The sequence below is a fragment of the Homo sapiens genome, chromosome 9 (genome assembly GCF_000001405.40).
Source record: "Homo sapiens chromosome 9, GRCh38.p14 Primary Assembly".
Lineage (NCBI taxonomy): Eukaryota > Metazoa > Chordata > Mammalia > Primates > Hominidae > Homo > Homo sapiens.
The window spans coordinates 114,014,770-114,033,947 of NC_000009.12; the positions used below are offsets into that span (position 1 = coordinate 114,014,770).

At 45.3% G+C, this 19,178-nt stretch overlaps 1 protein-coding gene across 50 annotated transcripts in view; it reads left to right on the top strand.

Moving 5' to 3' along the window:
• ZNF618 (zinc finger protein 618) overlaps positions 1-19,178 on the top strand; it is a 180,285-nt gene that overhangs the window by 138,461 nt on the left and 22,646 nt on the right. For 8 of the 50 annotated variants that reach the window (XM_005251692.4, XM_017014242.3, XM_011518200.3 and 5 more), the window contains 4 exons: positions 1,344-1,403; positions 1,926-2,015; positions 13,964-14,203; positions 17,876-17,959. In XM_005251692.4, coding sequence (XP_005251749.1) covers positions 1,344-1,403; positions 1,926-2,015; positions 13,964-14,203; positions 17,876-17,959 — 474 coding nt within the window. The remainder of the gene's footprint in view (positions 1-1,343; positions 1,404-1,925; positions 2,016-13,963; positions 14,204-17,875; positions 17,960-19,178) is intronic. The other 42 variants (XM_011518201.3, NM_001318042.2, XM_047422720.1 and 39 more) reach the window with 7 other exon arrangements.

Sequence of the window (19,178 nt, forward strand, 5' to 3'; positions counted from 1 at the left end):
TTTTTTTTCAGTAGGTCTTAGGTGAGTCCTAAGAATTTGGATTTCTAACAGGTTCCCAGGTGATACTGATGTTGCTGGTCCAGGGACCGCACTTTGAGAAGCACTGTGTTGGAAAATAGTTTTATGTTACTAAATATAGTTCACAGTGAAGATTTTGATCCCATGAGCTTTTAGGTATCAAACAACATTGTTTCCAAATATACAAAATAAATTTAGAAATACAGTGAAGTGGAAAGATTTATCACAATATTTAGTCTTTGACAGAGCAAGTAGACAAACAAGGTTGTATAGAATTTAAATAATATATTTAATACAGTTGATGTAATAACTGAATCCTACCGAGAGCAAGTAACTTACCATTTCCAATGTTTATGAATCAGTTACAAAAATTATTTAACTACTAAAAATTCTATAGCAGGAGAGAAAAACCATAAACAGACTAATAAACCAATTAAGAACAAATTAATTTTAACACATATAACAAAATGTTGATATCCTTAATCTACAAAGAGTTTAGCCATTTCATAAATGTCAATATGCCTGTAGAAATGCTGGCTGTAAACACAAAAGGAAAGTCACAAAAGAAAAACAATAGTTAATTAAACATGAAAAATAATCAATTTCCTTAGAAATCAAAGAAATGGAAAGTAAAATCAGTGTAATATAGTTCTTCTCATCAGATAGGCAGAATGTAAGAAGATGATAATACTTAATGCTGGCTGTAGTATGCATAAACAGTCATTTTCATACCTTTCTGGTTGGGATGATGGTGCTATGATTATCAAAGGCCTTAAAAATACATACCCTTTCCCTCTCTTGAATTTTTCCACAGGAAATAATGTGCAAAGATTATATGGAATAGCCTTTATTTTGTGATAATGTGTAAAATTAATGGGTGAATGTGCAAAAATTTCTATAAAAACATGAGTCACAGCATTTTTCTTAATAGGGAAAAAATTTTGAAACAATTTCAATGTCCCTTGGTGTAGGGGACTGGCTCAGCAAATTCCAAAGTCCAGTGGGAACCATGCAGCCAATAGATGCAGTAGAGATCAATATTTATTGATTGGGCAAGATGTCCACAAAGTAATGTCGGTTGAATACACCAGATTACAAAGAGGATATTGATCAGGACTGGCTAATTCAGGGCTCACAGGAGCCAGACAGGTGTTATCAGTGAGAGAAGCGCACCCCAGATGAGACAGAATGAAGAGTGGGGACCAGGGCACCCTCCCCCAAGGGGGTAGATGCTGCTCTTTGTTTGGGGGTTACAGATGATTGAAATTTCTCTTTAGTTTTTATTCTGTATTTGTATTTATCAGTATTTTATAATTTTCCCCCAGTGAACAATATTACATCAGACATTTTTAAGAAGAAAGAAGTTAGGCAGTGCCAAAAGAGAGGTAAAGATAAAGTCGGGTGGGACTTGAGAGGAAGAAGTGACCCCTGCTGCTAGTGGGTGGGGGGTGCTTGGGGGCAGGGAAGGTCCTGGAGATGAGGGGACCCCGGGTGTGGCCACTGCAGAGGGCAGGGCTTGCAAAGGGGCTGACGAAGAGGTTGGTGTTGGAGGTCAGCACACTTCTTGAGCACCGGGTCTGGGGTGGAGCGATGTGCCAGGTACTGTTCTAAGCACTTGCCATCTAAATTTAATCCTCACAGCAATCCTACAAGGTGGTCCTATTATGACCTCCGTTTTATAGATAGGAAAACTGAGGCACAGAGAGGTTAAGAGACTTGCCCGAGGTTACCCAGCTCGAAATGTCTGAGCTGGGATTTGAATAGGGGTCTTCTAACTCCAGAGTCAGAATTGATTCTAGTTGATGGTCCCAGAATGGGGAGGAGTTTTTTGGGGGGTGGGAGCACGCTGATGCTTCTTGGTGGAGGCCAGTTGCACATTCTTACACCTTCGTTTCCTTCCTGGACAGAAACTGGCAATTACACCTGTGAATTCTGCGGCAAACAGTACAAGTACTACACTCCCTACCAGGAGCATGTGGCCTTACACGCCCCCATCAGTGAGTACCTCCTCCCGGTAGGGATGGGGGTTGGGGGACCCGGGACAGGGTGGGCCAGCCGTTGGCCAGGCCTCTGGAATTTGGCCAGGAAATGGTGAAAGCAAGGTGAGCTCAGTTCTGGGTCAGTCTTTAGGTATTATGTCTGACCCAGGGCCACCTGTCTACAGTGGCCGGCATAGCTGAGAAGTCCCCCTCTTAAGCCAGAGCAGAGTCCGAGCCCTCCCTTAGTGGACTCAGAGTCCTGTGCCCACATGATTGGGGTGAGGAGGGTGGACATCACTTGTCCAAGTCCTGCTGTGGCCCTCTTCTAGGTACCGCTACATCACAAGGTTTATGAATCTCCACCCCCAAAGCCAGTTCCGCATGATGCAGCTTCAGTCTGAACAGATGCATGAAGGAGCCCGGGCTAGGGGCGTGGTTAACTGGACAGGAAAGCTCCCTCTTGGTCCTTGATGGTGGGAAGCTAAGGAGGTGGCAGGAACCCTGAGCTGGGAGTCAAGCCCTGGCTGTTAATCCCAGCTGAGTCCCAGGCCTGCTTGTGACCTGGGGCAGGCTGCGTCCTGACCCTGGACCACCATCTCCCACTCTGACTGGGAAAGGAAGGGGCTCTAAGGGCCCTTCCCACAGTGACATCCTCACCTTCCATCCTCCTGGTGCCCGTGAGCCTACCTTACTGATTTCCCAGCTCCTTTTCTGGATATTTGAGGGGTCTCCATCCTCAGATCCCCGAGTATATGAGCTAGGGGGCCCATCAGCCTCCCTCTCTTTCATGTGCAGGTGCAGAAACCAAAGTCTGACAGGGGTGGGGCTTGTGCAGTCTCAGGGCAGTAGGGCTGGATGTTTAGCAGCGTTTTTGGAAGTGTTGCTGGTTTTGTTTCTCACAGCAGAGCTGTGGGGATCCCTCTCCCCATTCTGTGGATGGGAAGACTTTGGTCCAAACAGAGAGGGAGGGTTTACAGAAGGTCACTGGGGGCTGAAGCCCCTTATAGTCTGGGAAGGCCCAGGTCCCTCCTAGAGCCCTGCTGTTGGGATACCAAGGGTATTGGATAGGGAGGGAGAAGTATTCAGAGCCTGGAGGGTGGTGTAGGTAGCTTCCCCAGGAATTCCTCCCCTCTGGGCAGAGTGGCAGGGGCTGAGGGGTCTTCCCGTGGGTGAGAACTCCAGTCCTGAGGTCGAGCACTGGGCTGAGATTCTCATCCCTGCTTGCCCCTCACTGCTCTGTGACCTTGTGCCTGTTGCTTTCCTTCTCTGGGCTCTTTTCCCATCTGTGAAAGCTGTTTAAGGTCTTTTCAGCCCAGGATCTGGATTATAGACATCTCTGACATGAGGTACCTGCTATGGCCCCACTAGAAGAATCCATTCCACTTCCCAGCCTGGGCTATATAGGTCATTCAGTACCCGCCATAGAGCCAGATCTTGTGTGGAGAGAGAGGATGCAGGATTCCACTGGGTAGGCACCGACTGTCCAGTTGACCCACTTGTGGTGCTGATGCCCAGGCAGCAGGGCTGTGGTCGGGCTTGAACACCATGGCCTGTGCCCCTCTGGAGATCCAGCTTTCCATAAGCAGGTACAGGGCAGCCATGTTTGTTCTCCAGTGAAGCAGCAACTGCCCTGCTCCCTGGTGCCCAGGCTGGATGCTACCCAGAATGCACTTTCAGTGAGGTGTTAGCTACAAGGCCAGACTATAACCTTGAGTTCAGCCTTTGGAGACTATCTTCAGTGCTTCCTGGGACAAGTTGAGTAAGGCCATGGAGTTAGTAAGATGGGGAGCTTGGCTTTGAATTCCGGCAGGCAGGCTCCAGGCCCACACTCAACCATGAAGCTATCCTACATCCCATGTCAGATGGTAAAGCAGAAAGGGGTGTGTCTCTTCCACCCTAAGTTTTTCCCTGACAGCCTGGTGCATCTCTCCTGAAGGGCTGTCTACTTTTCTTTCTGTGTTCCTCACTTTCTTTTGCTTTCTATTATGAACTCTCTTTCTTTCTTCCTGTATCTGCTTGTTGAATTAATCTCTCTGTTACCTACTGAAGTCTGGGGACTCAGGGATCATCTGTGTTTAAAATACAGCATGAGAGATTTAGCCTAGATTCAAGAGAGAATTATTTATCCAAGGCTGTCCAAGAGATAGCTCCTGCAGTGGCCTCTGGTGTTAGAGATTTGTGTGCCAATGGACTTCTTGTGGAGGCAGGGGCTGGACTTGAGGGCTTCATCAGGTGGTATCCATGGCTGGGACTTGAGACTCTGGGTCTGGTGAGTGTCCATAAGGACATAGACTGACTGTGGAAGAATTTCTTAGAATTAGTGTCATAGAATCTATATTCTTTTATGTCTGACTTCTTTTGCTCAGCAGAATGTTTTTAAGATTCATATTTTATCATATTCTCATATGTATCAGTTGTTCATTCTTTTTTACTTCTGAGCAATGTTCTATTGTATGAAAATACCGTTTGTTAGCCATTTACCTGTTAATTTGGGTTGTTTCCAGCTTTAGGCTATTATAAATAAAGCTGCTATGAAAATGCTTATATGAGGATTTTGTGGGCATATGTGTTCATTTCTTTGGATAAATACCAAGGAGTAGAATGACTGGGTCATGGGGAATAGTATGTTTAACTTTTTAATAAGTGACAAACCATTTTCCAAAATGACCATAGCATCTTTCACTCCTGCCAGCTGTGCCTGTGAGTTCCACTTGCTCCATGTTCTTGCCAACATTCGATGGTATTGGTCTGTTTAATTCAGCTATTCTAGTGAGGGGATAGTGGAGTCTCACTGTGGTGTTAATTTGTATTTTCCTGATAACTAATGACGTTGAACATCTTTATATTTACTTATTGGCCACTTACATATTTTACTTTGGAAATTGTCTCTTTAGGTCTTCTGCCCATTTATTTGGTTGGGCTGTTTGTCTTTTTTATTATTAAGTTGTAGGAGTTCTTTCTATATTCCAGTAGGCCTGGGTTCTTTGCCAGATACATGTACTGTGGATTTTTCTCCTAGTCTCTGGCATGCCAGTTGATTTTCATACAGCATCATTTGATGAACAGATGTCTTTCATTTTGATGAAGTCCAGTTTATCATTTTTTTCTATTGTTAGTGCTTTTTGGGTTCTACCTCAAGGATATCCTTGCCTACCTCAAAATGGTAAAGATACCCTGTTTTATTATCTTTTAGAAGCCTTGTAATTTTAGCTTTTTCATTTATGTCTGTGATATATTTCAACTTAACTTTTCAAATGATGTGAGGTATGAGTTGAGACTCATTTTATTCCATACAGATACCTGGTTGTTACAACATCATGTGTTGAAAAGATTATCTTTCCCTATTGCATTGCACTGGTACTTTTGTGGAAAGTTATTTGAATGTGTAAGTATTTTTCTCTTCCGTTGGCCTGTTTGTTTATCTTTATGCCTATTCCACATGATTTTACTTATAGCTCTCTAGTAAGTCTCAAATCAGCTGCTCTTAGTTTTTCAGCATTGTTATTTTTTAAGACTATTTGGCTATTCTAGAAACTTTATTCTTCCATATTCATGTTAGAGTCTTCTCTAATTTCTACCAAAAAAATGCAACTTGGAGTTTGTTTGGGATTCTATTGAATCTGTAGATCAATTTGGGGAGAATCATCATTACAATAATATTGGGTCTCCCAATCCATGAACATGGTATATTTCCCCAAGTATTTAGGGCTTGTTTAGTTTCTCTCAGGAGCAGTTTGTACTTTTCAGAGAAGTCTTGCACATATTTCATTCCATATCTCCAAGTATTTTATGGTTTGTGACACTACCATGACTTTTAAATTTAATTTTCCAATTGTCTGTTGCTATTGCCTATAAAAAAATCAATCTTTGTGTATTGAATTTGTGTATTGCAAATTAGCTAAATTTACTTATTAGTTCTAATAGATTTTTTTAGATTTTTTTGGATTTTCTTTTGCATATTGATGTCATCCACAAATAAAGACAGCTTTATTTCTTTCCTTCCAATCTGTATTCTTTTTATTTTTTTTCTTCCTCACTATTCTGGTTAGGTCCCTCCAGTACAATGTTGAATAGAAGAAATTAGTGAATATTTTTTGCCATGTTCCCAATCATAGAGTTCAGTTTTTTATTGTTAAGCATTGTGTTAGCTAAAGTAGGTTTTTATAGATGCCCATTATCAGTTGAATAAGTTACCTCTTATTTATAGTTTATTAAAAGTTTTTCTTATAAATTGATGTTGCATGTTTTTTTCCTCCATCTTTTGAGGTGATTCTGTGGATTCTTATATTCTCTTTTGTTAGTACTGGTGAATTACATAGACTTAAAAAAAATTCACCATTCCTATACTTTATTAAAACACGTTAAGAATATCAGAAAGTCAAACTGTAAAATGAACTGAAGAAAGTTACAACCTGGGGATGATTATTCTTTGCCAGATAAAATGACTTCCTTCTTTGAAGCTTCTGTTTTTTCTTAATAGGGTATATTTAAGTTGTATAACTTGATTATTTCATATGTATACATTGTGGAATAACCCCACAATCAAGTTCTTGCTTAGGCATCTAAATTACTTAACGATCCAAGGTTAGTTTATAGAGTAATTTGTTTTTAAGAACATGTTTTCCTCTCACTTCTATCTAAAATTCTTCAGGATTTTACTTCCTTTTGATATCACTCCCAAAACTGTCTCCTCAAGGGCAGGGAAATACAGTCCTAGGATTAGCAGAATGCCTATATTTAATCAGTGGTGTGTTAATGAAGGTCATAATTAAGAAAATGAATATTTCTGGTGAAGTTTTTAAATATTGATTGAAGTATATTGTCATATAATAAAGTGCCTGTTATTTAAAGTGTACAGTTTGATAAGTTTTGACCTATGCATGCACCCATGAAACGGTCACCACAATCTAATTAACATACCCATCACCCCCAACAGTTTTCTCATGCCCTTTTGTAATTTGCTTACCACTTCCCCATCCCGAGGCAAACACTAATCTGCTTCCTATTACTGTAAATTAGTTTGCGTTTCCTAGAATTTTACATATATGGAATCTTACAGTATGTAAGTATATATTTTTGAAGGGAGAGGTCTGGCTTCTTTCACTCTGCATAATTATTTTGAGATTCATCTATGCTTACATGTATCAGTAGTTCATTCTCTTTTAACTGATGATGAGTAGTATTCCATTTCCAGATATACATGCCACAATTACTTTGTTCATTTATGGGTGGATATTTAGAGTATTTCTGGCTAGAGTTCTGGAGCTAATACAAATAAAGCAGTTATGAACATTTGTGTACAAGCCTTTGTAAGGAAAAATGCTTTTATTTCTCTTGGGTAATTACCTAAGAATGGAATGACTGGATCATATGGTAGATGGTTGTTTAACTTTTAACAACAGCCATGTTGTTTTCCAAAGTAGTTGTGCCATTTTACATTCCAACCAGCAGTACAATTTTCTTTTCTTGTAATGTTCTCGTCTCGTTGGGTATCAGAGTATTGCAGGCCTCATAGAATTGGGAAGAGTACTCCCTCCTCTTCAATTTTCTGAAGAGTTTATATAGAATTGGTATTATTTTATGTAAGTATTCTATACAATTCAACAGTTAAGCTTTTGAGCCTGAAGTTTTCTTTGTAGGAAGGATTATTTAGAAATATATTCCATTTCCAAATATTTGGGAATTATCCAGATTTTTTGTTGCTATTGACTTCTAACTTAATTCCATTGTGGTCAGAGAACATATTCTGTATTTTCCAGTCTTCAAAATTCATTGAGATAAGTTTTATGACCTACCTTATGGTCTCTTCTGCTGCGGTTTCATGTCCACTTGACCAAAAAAAAAAAAAAAAAAAAGGCATCTCGTATTGTCAGTTAGGCCAAGTTGGTTGATAATGCTGTTCAAATCTCTATACTCTTTCCCACTTTCTTTTTTAATTAGTTTGTCTTACCAAGTTCTGAGAGAGAAGCATCAAAATTCTCAACTCTAATGGTGGATTTGTCTATTTCCCCTTTTAGGTTTGTCAGTCTTCAATTTATGTAATTCGAACCTTTGTTATTAGGTACACACAGTTAGCATCATTATGCCTTGATGAATTGACCCTTTATAAAGTAGTGCAATGCCATTCTATATCTCTGGTAATGCCTGTTGTCCCGAAATTTCCTTTGTCTGTTACTGTAAGCCATGACAGCTTTCTTAGGATTAGTATTTGCATAGTATATCTCTTTTCATCATTTTATTTTAATCTACCTTTATCTTTGTATTTGAAGTATGTATATATAGTTGGTTCTTATGCCTTTCTTTATCCAGTCTGGTAATCCCTGCCTTTTAATTGAAATGTTTAATTCATTTACATTTAATATACTATATTAATATGGTTAGATTTAAGTTTACTATCTTGCATTTTTTCTATTTGTCCCATTTGTTCTTGTTCATCTTTTTCTTATTTTCGTGCCTTCTTTAGTATTAATCAAGTATTTTTTAAAAATGCCTCTTAGCTTTCTAGCCATAACTCTTTTTCTTTAGTGGTTTCTCTATGATTTATAATATACATGTTTCATATGTTACAGTCCACCACGAATTTATATCATAACACATTACATATAATATAAAAGCTTTACAATGGCATACTTCCCATTTACTGCCCTCCTGTTCTTTGTGCTATTTTTATCATACATTTATGCCTATGTGTGTTATAAACCCAACAATTACTCTTTTAGCTTTAAACAGTAATTTGTTAAAGTAACTGAGAAATTAGAAAATGCCTTTTATATTTACTTATTTTCCATTTTGTTTGCTTTTCTTTCCTTCGTATACATCTGAATTCCATCAATTATCATTTTCTTTAATTCTTGAAGAACTTCCTTTAACATTTCTTATATTGTAGGTCTATTGGTGAAAGATTCTCTAAGCTGAAGATGTTTTTATTTCACATATTTTTTTGAAGGATTTTTTTTCTGGATATAGAATTCTAGGCTGATAAATTTTTTTATGTTTAAAAATGTCATTCCTTTGTCTTCTGGCTTAAGTTGTTTCTGATGAAAAGTCAGAGATCATTCTGATTGTTATTCATCTATATTTAGTGTATATTTTTTCTCTGGATGCTTTTAAGTATTTCTTGGGTTAATAGTTTTTAGCAATTTCATTATTTGTGTTTATCCTGTTTGAGATTCATTGAGCTTCTTGGATCATGAGTGTACATTTTTCATCAAATTTGGAAAATTCTCAGCCAGTATTTCTTCAAATATTTTTCTTTCCTAATCTCTCTTTTCTCTCTTGTTGAGACTTTAATTACATAGATATTTGATAATCAATAATGTTTACAGATAACTGAAGCTCTGTTCATTTTTTCAGCCTTGTTTTCCTTCTGTGCTTCGGTTTGAATAGATTCTATTGCCCTGTCTTCAAGTTCACTGATCTTCTCTTCTGTGGTGTCTAATCTGCTTTATTAGAAAAATCCATTAAGTGAACTTTTTATTTCAGCTATCATATTTTTCATCTAAGTTTCATTTGGTTTCTTTTTATAATTTTTATTTCTCTTCATTATTTTTCATCTTTCCTTGTCATTTCTGTATGTTTCTGTTAATTGGTTTTTCTCTTGATTACTGGTCACATTTTCCTGTGTTGCCTGGAAAATAATTGTTTCTTCCGTGCTGCATCCTGGGAATGCTGTGTTGTTGACTTGATTTTGTCTTCCTTTGAAAAGAGTTTTGTTCTGGCAGGTAGTTAATTACTTCCAAATCAACTCAATACTTCAAAAGCTGGTTTTTAAGCTGTGTTAGGACAGGTCTAGAATAGTTCTTATTCTGGGGTTAGAACAGCTCTTCTAAGGCATGGCCTTTCTGGCCGTTTCTTAGCTGAATGCCTGAAGTATTGAGCAAGGTCTCGCCTCTCTGGCTAGGGGGAACTCCAAAATATCTCCTACTCTTGTGTGACTTTTGAATCTTCACTCACTACACAGCCCCCCCACCCCCATCCCCCATTAGCTGTTTTTTTGCTAGGCTTTGCGGAGACTCATCTGCACAAATATAGTTTGGTATTCAGCCAGATTTCAAGGGGGCCCATATGCACATTTCTGGAGTTCTTTTTGTTGCAGAATTCTCTCTTCTTTGTTAATTTGCCGTGCAAATTCTAGCCACCTCAAAAGCCCTGAACTCAGATCACTGTCTCCTTTGTTCACTGAGATGTTTGGGCTCCACCTCTCTCTGCCCTGGTCCAGAGGGGCTCCCCAAGCAGAGAGCTAGAGTGACCATGGGGCTCACATCATGTTTTCTCTCCTGAATCACAGTTCTGCACCACCTTTGTCCAGCTTTATAGTTGAATATGGCAGGAAGCTAGTCTTGTATCAGTTACTCCGTCATGGCCAGAAGTGTGAGTTCCCCAGTTCTCTTTCTAAGATGAAGATTCACGAGGAGGGGTTCCCAGGTTGACTCCTCTTGCATCCCATCTCCCATTCATCTCCACCTCCAGCCCTTGAGCACGTGATTCCATTTGCCTCCAATGCAGTTTCATCCTCCTCTACCTCGTGGAAGTTTCGGGGAAACCCCCTGGCCTCTCCACTCCCTTGATTGTGTGGTTGCTTTTCTTGAATCCTTGCATTCTCTAAATTTCTTTGCTCCATGCATTCTCTAAATTTTTTTGGTCCAGTTAAATTTTCAGCTTTCTGGAAAGGAGACCACAGTGCTCTGTTATTTTTTAGATATCTCTTGTGTGTAGATACTGCATGTGTGTTTCCTACAGGGGAAGTCAGCCAGTCTGTCTGAGACTCTTTCATGCTTTCTCAGGAAGAGCTCAGGTAGGAATTCCAGCATGACAGTGTTCCCTGTGAGGTCAACAGAGGGAGCACACTGTTAAGTAGAATGAGTCAGGAGCCTGGGACATTGATCCTGGCCCAGCCCAACCCACCCTGTGACCCAGAATTGATAGCCATACCTCTCTGAGCTTGAGTAGCCCCATCTGCCTTATACCTTTGGGACCACTGGGAGGATAACATGTCAGATAGCTTCATGGTACCATTATGTGCCCTCATTGGGATCCCATCTTTGATGTGCTCTTCTTCAGCAGTTCTGACTTTAAATTTCCTGGCCGCTCACGCATTGATACATGGATTCCACAATGTCTCTTGAGCACTGTGTTTCAGGGAACGTGCCAAACACTCTGTGCATGGCGGGCAAGGCTGGCAGAGTTCCTGCTCTCTTGGAGCATACACGCTAATGGGGAGAGAGCCATTGTTCAAAGGTCATACTGTGTATCATTACTGATGGTGATCAGTCCTTGAAAGGGAAGGCAAGAGGGGACTGACAAATAAATGGTCCCAGATGGGGAGTTTTGGGGGAGGCAGACTCCCTAAGGAAGAGATTTTTAAGTACAGTGTGTAGGACCAACAGTCAAAAGTTTGAGGGAAGAATGTTCGAGGCAGAGGGAATAGCATGCACAAAGGCTATGAGCTTGAAAGAGAAAGGATATTGTAGGATATGAGAAGGCAAGGAGCTCAATGGCCTGTGAGGAAGCTGGAGAGGGGAGCGGTCCCAAGCGGGGTGGTCAGAGCACACAGGTGATGCCCTCAGGCCTATGATACCATGTGCTTTATGCATGTTCCTGAGCTCCCTGCCACAGGGAAAGAGGGGGCTGTGTGCCTCAGAATGCCAGGATCTTTACAGCAGGAATTGTAGACTCTGTAACGGGCTGATCCAACGGGGCTCCTAGAGTCATTCTGCAAGGATGGAGCCTGAAGCCTCAGAGGGAAAGCAGCTTGATCAGGCTGTTGCTCAGAAACTCTGTTCCTGTGTGGGTCACTGCCATGGAGAGCAGAGGAGTGCACGGCCTTGTGCCAAAGGCCTCCTTGCACAGCCGGCAGACTTGAGCCCTGTCTCATCTCAGCACTAACTTTGTGTGTTGCCATCAACAAACTTATTATGTCTGTGGCCAGAATAAGCCTTTGGGCCTTGGGTTTTTTTAATCTCTGAAAAATACCAGTAATAGATACTTACATTTGAAGAGCAGTTTATCATTCAGGATGCTTCTGAGACTTTCTTGGATTCCCATAAAGTCCCCGTGAGACTTGCTATGTGGAGAGGGTCATCCCAGTGTTGGTGGAGTCGAGGGGGGAAAACAAAGGCCGAGAGAGGGGAGGTATAGTCTCCAAGATTGTGGAGGCCGAGGGTTACAGAGCTGGGCTTCAGAGGTGGATTTGCCTCACTCCAGACTCAAGGCTGGTTCCATTACAGTGAATAACCAGCTGTGGTCCCCAAACTCTGCCTCACACAGGAAGCCAGCAGTGATATTAGAAATGGACTCTGGGTGCCTATTGCAACATTGAATGTGTCGGTTCATTCTGTGGGTTAAAAAAAAAAATTGGAAATTATGAGACAAGCAATCACCTGGTGGGACTCAGGGGCCTCTGAGGCCCTCGGCTCAGAAAGAGAGACAGAGAGCAGGAGAGTAGGTATACAAGTGTCCTTTGCCACCCAAGACTTCTCAGTTCCTGATTCAGGAAGGGAGAGTCCCAAGAGTGGCAGCTCAGGTCACAAGGGACACAAGTGTTTTCCGCAGACTGAGGCCTTGGGATTTGTTTCTGGGGCTGGGGCGGACAGATGAGGGCTTGTTTAAGTGGGGCATGACTAAAGAACTCCCTGCTCCCAGCACGTGGCCACCACTGTAGGCGAGGAGTGGGTGACCCTCCACGGGGGAGAATGGGCAGCCCCAGTCCTCACAGCTCACCCCATGCACCAGTGTGGTAAATGAAGGACCATAGAGTGGCTTTTTCTTTTTGCCACTCAGTTCCTCTGTGACCTTGGACAAGGCCCTGCATCCTGCTTCTTTGGGCTGAGCTTCGCCTTCTGTGCCAGGAATGAGCAGAGGTGGCGGGCCAGGGGGCCCTTTCATTTAGGCTCTGCATACAGTGCCCAGGACGGACGCTGTCTTAGGAGCAGGGAGATAATGGGGCCTGCCTCCACCTGCCTGGGCCAGGGGAGCAACAGCCAGGTCCTTCGCTAGGCAGGTCAGGGCTGTGGCCAGGCACTGAGTCAAGACAGTACCCTCTGGTGTTACTAATTCTCGGGGGTTCTGTGAGCCTCTGGTCGGTACCAAAGGGCCCCTGCTTCCTCTTGCTGCCTAGCCCCCTTCCTGCCCTCAGGGAGAGTTGTGGATTTTGCATGATCTCTGAGTCTCATTCATGAGAATGAGGCCAGGTTGAAGTGTGGAAGTGTGGCCAGGTTCAGGGGCTGGCCACCACTGCTAAGGGTTCAGGGGAGGGTGAAGGAGGCCAACTGATGCTCTCCCAAGACCACCAGAGGTGGAAACTGCTGGAGAGCCAGCCCCCGGTTCTCAGTGACTCCAGCTTCTACGGACTTTTCAGGTGAGGGAGGCAGGGGGCCTGGGTAATGGTGATGCAGGGTTCCCCAGACAGCATCCAGGAACTGCTACACTTATTTCAATTAAAGCGTCAGGTGTCCCATGAGAGCAACAGTTCCCAGTCAGTGCCCACAAGGCACCACAGAGCCCCTTGCCCTAAAACCTTGGAGGGACTATCAGGCCCCTCTGCCTCACCCCCAGCCCCGGCATGTCCCTGCCTGTCTACTTCCTATTGTAACTTCCAAGCCAGCCTTCCTTTAAAGGAAAAGGAGCTTAGAAACCAACATTCTAGAAGATGCACTTGGGCCTGGGTTAACCAATTCAGATGCCCTAAGAGCCAGTCAGTCCAGAGACTGGGCTGGTCAAGGGTTATGGGTGACCTACACAGTGGGCTGGTTGGTGGCCTCCAGATAACTAAGCGTGAGCTGACAGAAGGTTCCAGACTCCTGGACTTTCTCTGGCTCTGAGTTAAGTGAGAATCCTTGTTCTCTGTGGCACAAGAAGAGGTTGGACAGAGACAGTCCCAACCCTGGAATGTGGGGCTGGTGGCCCGAGAGGCCACTCACTCTGCCGGCTGGGAGGGCCCTCGGGGACTGAGAGCGTGACCCTCTCAGGTACTGCCCCCGGGTGGGAGCCACCGGATGATCCAGACACGGGCTCTGAGTGTTCACATCCAGAGGTCTCCCCATCTCCACGCTTCGTGGCAGCGAAGACCCAGACGAACCAGTCGGGGAAAAAAGCTCCGGCCTCCGTGGTCCGATGTGCCACCCTCTTACACCGCACCCCTCCAGCCACCCAAACCCAGACGTTCCGCACTCCAAATTCGGGATCTCCGGCGAGCAAGGCAACCGCAGGTACCAATGGCCTATGTGACCCCCACACTTTCTCCCCCACTGCCCTTCTCACCACCTGCCACAGCTGTGCCTGGGGTTGTTGTTGCCTTGCAAGAGCAAGAGTGGCAGTCCCGTAGTGATCTGGGACAAATCTGAGTCCCAGCTCTGCCTCTGGCTGGCTCTGTGACCATGACAAGCCACCTCACATTTCTGAGCCAAGTCTTCTCACCTTAAATCAGAGGGTTGTACAAGGAGGTTTGCAAACTTTTTTTTTTAAGTAGTAGAATATTTTTTCCCAAATCATGGCCTGAGGGGCCTGTTTTGACATTCTTCACAAGGTTTAAAAAATTTTTTAGTTAATTGCCAGCTTCTGAACATCAAATTTTATGTAAAACTTTTGATTTCTACCTGACATTGAAAAGTCAAACCTGGCAGTCCTGGACCCACTTTCCTACAGGACAACGATTGGCTGCCTCCTTGAGTAGAGTGTGTGCTCTCCACTTTTCCACATCCTCACCACGCCTTACTGCCTCCCCAACACAATGGCCATGTGGCAGGTGTCATTTCTCATTGTGATCACACTGTTGTCTGTCTTACATCCAACCCAGTTCATCTGTTTCTGTTGCCTGCCTGGACCCTGTTGGCATGAGTTTGCATCTCCCACCTTTCAGAAAACTTAATTTAAAAAAAAAAGTCATTTCAACAAGGATCTGCTCTGAACAAAGCAGGATAAGCCGGATGGTTGACCTAGATCTCTGGTCTCTTGCCCTCCCCCTCTGTAGCACTACCCGTGAAACTCCTCCATGAGATACAGGCCCAGCAGGAAATCAGTGGATGCCACCATTTCCTCAGTTCACACTGCAAAGGACTCTGGCTCCAGAGGGGTAAACAGACAATAAAAAGTTCCGAGAAGTTATTTCCTCCAGAAAAACTGGCCAGACACACTGTGTGCTGAGGACCAGCAGTCAGGAATTCTTAGATTCACGTTTGGATGGAACCAGCCCTGGGCCACCTGCCGGGACTTGTGGGTTGTAGGGCAGAGTGATGATGTGGTGCCTCTGGGACCGCGGGCCCTTCAGTTGTCCTCAGGAGACCAAAGCCATTTCTTAAATAAATAGATGATCAAGGTGAGAACTCAGGTAAAGGATCCACTTGGTTCATTCGGTGACTGACAACCCAGCCGAGTGATTAAGCCGTGCTTTCCTTTACTCCTCAGTTCAGGAGGCTAATTTTGGGCAAGGGCGTGATTCTTCGAAGATATGTTTATTGTGCTTAGATCTCCCAAAAGGAGAGTAGTCAGTCAGCCTTGAAGGTTTGAAGGTCATGGTTTTTCAGGTACCGTGTTGAGAAAAGCCAGTAGCCGTTGTGTTTTTCAACAGTAGCATAAATTAGTTAGAAGCAAATTGGTCATCACGGTCTCATTGGTGATAGATATCGGCTCCACTAAATCATGGAATCGTGGCTTTCAAATCTTGCTTTCTCTCTTGCACTTTGTGGCTGGGAGTTTTTATGCCTGCGGTTTCTGCAGAGGGCGGCCCACAGGGTGTGGTACGTGGCCGGTCTCCAGCTTCAGTGTCTCTGAGTAGGCATTCAGCAAGCTATGGGACAGGCCTCAGGCTGCCTTCATGTGCCTTGGAAGACTTGTGGGTAGGGGTCACCTCTGGATTCACCAGCTGAGCAGGTCAGAGGGCATCCGGTTGGGAGCAGGAGCCTGCATGGGAGATAAGATAGTATGTGGTTGAGGAAGAAACTGTCAGTCACCTCCTGGTCCTGGAATAAGTGGCCCTTCATGTGTGTATGGGCACGTCCCTGTATGGGATTTCACCTCTGGTGCTGCATGTTGATTTTTCAGCCAGAGGTACTTGTGGCAAGGAAAGCTATTCAAAATGTGCATTATCAGCTGAGCAGTGTAAGAGTTTGCAGCCTCAATTGTGGTAAGTTTACCAGCATGCTGGTCAGAAGTCCTCCATAGATGAGTACCAGTCACCCAACGTACACAAGGATGAAGATGGAGTAGGCAGTCACTTCTCCACACAAGGCCTTTTTCAAAAGGAAGCACCTCCCCCTAAAGTGAAGTCTGATTCTGCCGTCTTGGAGGGTTAGGAGTACATCCAACCCCAGTAACTTGACAATCTCACTCTTTCCTCTGTTTTTTCACCTGTGAAATGGGAATGACAGTGCAGCCCTCACAGGGCTTTTGGGAGAATTAGAGGGAACTTGGATGTAAAGTATCTGGTCCAGTGCCTGGTACATAGGAGGTGCTCAGCGAATGAGAGCCCCCCACCCCCACCCCTTTCCCTAGACCGAGAACAGAGGGGCCTTCTGTGCCAATTTGTAGATGCTCCCTGGGACTCTCAGCCCAGGCATTTCACAGGCACATTTTGAAGGGAGGGTTGTCCTTGTAATGTTAGCTGCAGCCTCTGCAGGAAGGAGCCTGTGTCAGGAGACGTTGTTACAGTGGGATGACAGGGGTCGGGGGGAGGTGGGAATTGGGCAGGGTCTGCAGGCACTGCCTCTGGCTTCCTTTCCCATTGTCCCCATGACCATCCGCAACCCTGGCACCCACAAACTAAGCACTTGCTCTTCCGGAGCAGGGTGGACCAGGTGAGAGTGGCATTTCCCAAAGTGCATTCTCAAGATCACCAATTTTGTGAGATATTTCAGAATCTAATGTTTTAAAAATGGGGTTCTGTGGGAACCCCTCTTATGTTTGGGGAAGGCCAGGTTAAGTAAATCTAAATGGGTCTGTTTGCGGGCAGACTTTGCGGAGCCTTTGATATCTTTGGGCAAATTGTTTCTCCTTAAGAAATGCACTGGGTCAGCTGCACATCCCAAATTGACTGGTTCCCTGAGGTCTTTATCTCTGGGATCGTCCGGCATCCCCCTCATGCCTAGAGCACCTTGGAAAAGCTGGGCTGTCTTCCAGCTCGGATCATCTGTTTCAATACCTTCTGCAGGTGGGGGTGGGGGATAAAAATTCATGGTTTTCCACCTGGTTGGACCCTATCTCTGCATTGCAGGGTTTCCAGAGAGCACTTGGAAGAGGGTGGGCCCCTCAGGTAGATGGCAGCCTGTAAGCAGAGACACCCCAGTAGTCACTCAGGGGGAACCCATCCCTTCCGCTGGGGGAACAACTGACCAGACTTTGCCTGGGTTTGGCCTCTGGGGGTGTGGGGCTACCCCTGCTCTCCCTGTCACGCCATCTGTTGCAGGATACCCTCCCTGTCACCAGGGACCACCTAGCTGATGGAGCTGGAATCACCAGAAAACATGCTGTCATCATCTATGCACTTCGGTGGGGCCCGTGGCAGCAGAATCTGACAGGGAGTGGTGGGCGGTAGATCCAATGATTTGCTGTCACGGTTGTGGCTCTCCAGGAGCCAAAGATGGGAGACTCAGGCCCATTTGCCATCTGCTCTCCTGCTGGATTTCATCTTTGTGTTTTTGGGCATGTCACTCCCCCGGCCCCCGTGCCTGGGCCTCCTGGGCCCTGCCAGGAGGGTCTCTTGGGGCCCTGCCAAGGGACTAGGCCACTCAGAGGGTCCTGGGGAGATCTGGCTTGAGGTCCTGGAGCCCTCACGAGAGCTAGTTGGCCCAGCAGAGTCCTTGGCCTTCACCCAGCCTACCCCTCCCTTGAGACCTAGTGCTGACCAATCACCATTGTTTTCTTTCTCTCTCCTGTCCCCCACCCAGCAGAAAGCGCTTTCAGTCGGAGAGTAGAAGGCAAAGCACAAAACCACTTTGAAGAGACGAACAGCAGTTCGCAGAACTCCAGCGGTGAGTGTGCCCCTTGACAGCCATCCTGTGCGGTAGCTGCCAGCTTCGCCCGCTCCCCCCTGGCAGCCGCGGCAGCATCCTGTGGGCTGGGGTCTTTGTGGTGCATTATGGATCTTGTTGGGAGGAGGCTGGGAGCAGGGAATTAGAGGGAGACCACAGAGGCAGGAGGGGCCTTTTCTTCCAGGGACATTCCTCTGAGCCTTGGGCATCAGTGGACAATGCCTCCTCTCTGTCTCCCCCATGGAGAGAGCAACACCCCTCCCCATAGCCTGCGGCATCAACTCAGCTGACCCCAGATGATTGGGCCTGAGAGAGCCACTGCTATGTTTTTAGGGTAGATGTCTCAGCCAGTTTCTTTACAGGAGAAGCAAAGGAAGTGCAGTTGAGAGAGCTCTAAGAGGCCGGGCGCCGTGGCTCACACCTGTAATCCCAGCACTTTGGGAGGCCAAGGTGGGTGGGTCACTTGAGGTCAGGAGTTCGAGACCAACCTGGCCAACATGGTGAAATCCCATCTCTACTAAAAATACAGTAGCTGTAGTCCCAGTTACTCAGGAGGCTGAGGCAGGAGAATCACTTGAACCCAGGAGGCAGAGGTTGGAATGAGCCAAGATTGCACCACTGCACTCCAGCCTGGGTGACAGAGCGAGACTCTGTCTCAAAAAGAGAGAGAGAGAGAGAGAGAGAGAGAGAGAGCTGTGAGAGCCAGAGGCTCCAAGTTCTGGTCTCATTTTGGCCCTGGAGCCACTGGAACGAAGATTCCCTTCCAGCCCCTACCTGCTCAAGTGGGTTTAAACTGAGGCTCTAGGTGGTCTCTGGCGCCCCCTGACGCCTGCCTCTTCCAGGACCGCGGCAGAGCCCTAGAATGTCCAGAGCAGCAGCCAAGGGGCCTCTCCCACCAGACCCGGGGTCAGCCTGGGGGGTGCCTGGCTGGTCACCAGCAGCCTCTGTCCGAGCAGGGCACAGCAAGCTGTTCTGTACCCTGAGAGGCAGGGCAGGAGGGGAGAGGAATTCTCACATTGTGGTTACATTAGGGGAAGGCACCCACTCACTTTCTTGCATGGTTGAAATTTAATTCACTACATATTAGGTGTCAGCCTGTGCCAGGCACTGGGCTGGGCACTACTGCCTGGGTGTGGACAGGTGACGAACACATCACAACTGTCGGGGACCCTCTGAGACAGCCAGGAGCGCAGACTTGAGTGTGGAGGCATCTGCCTAG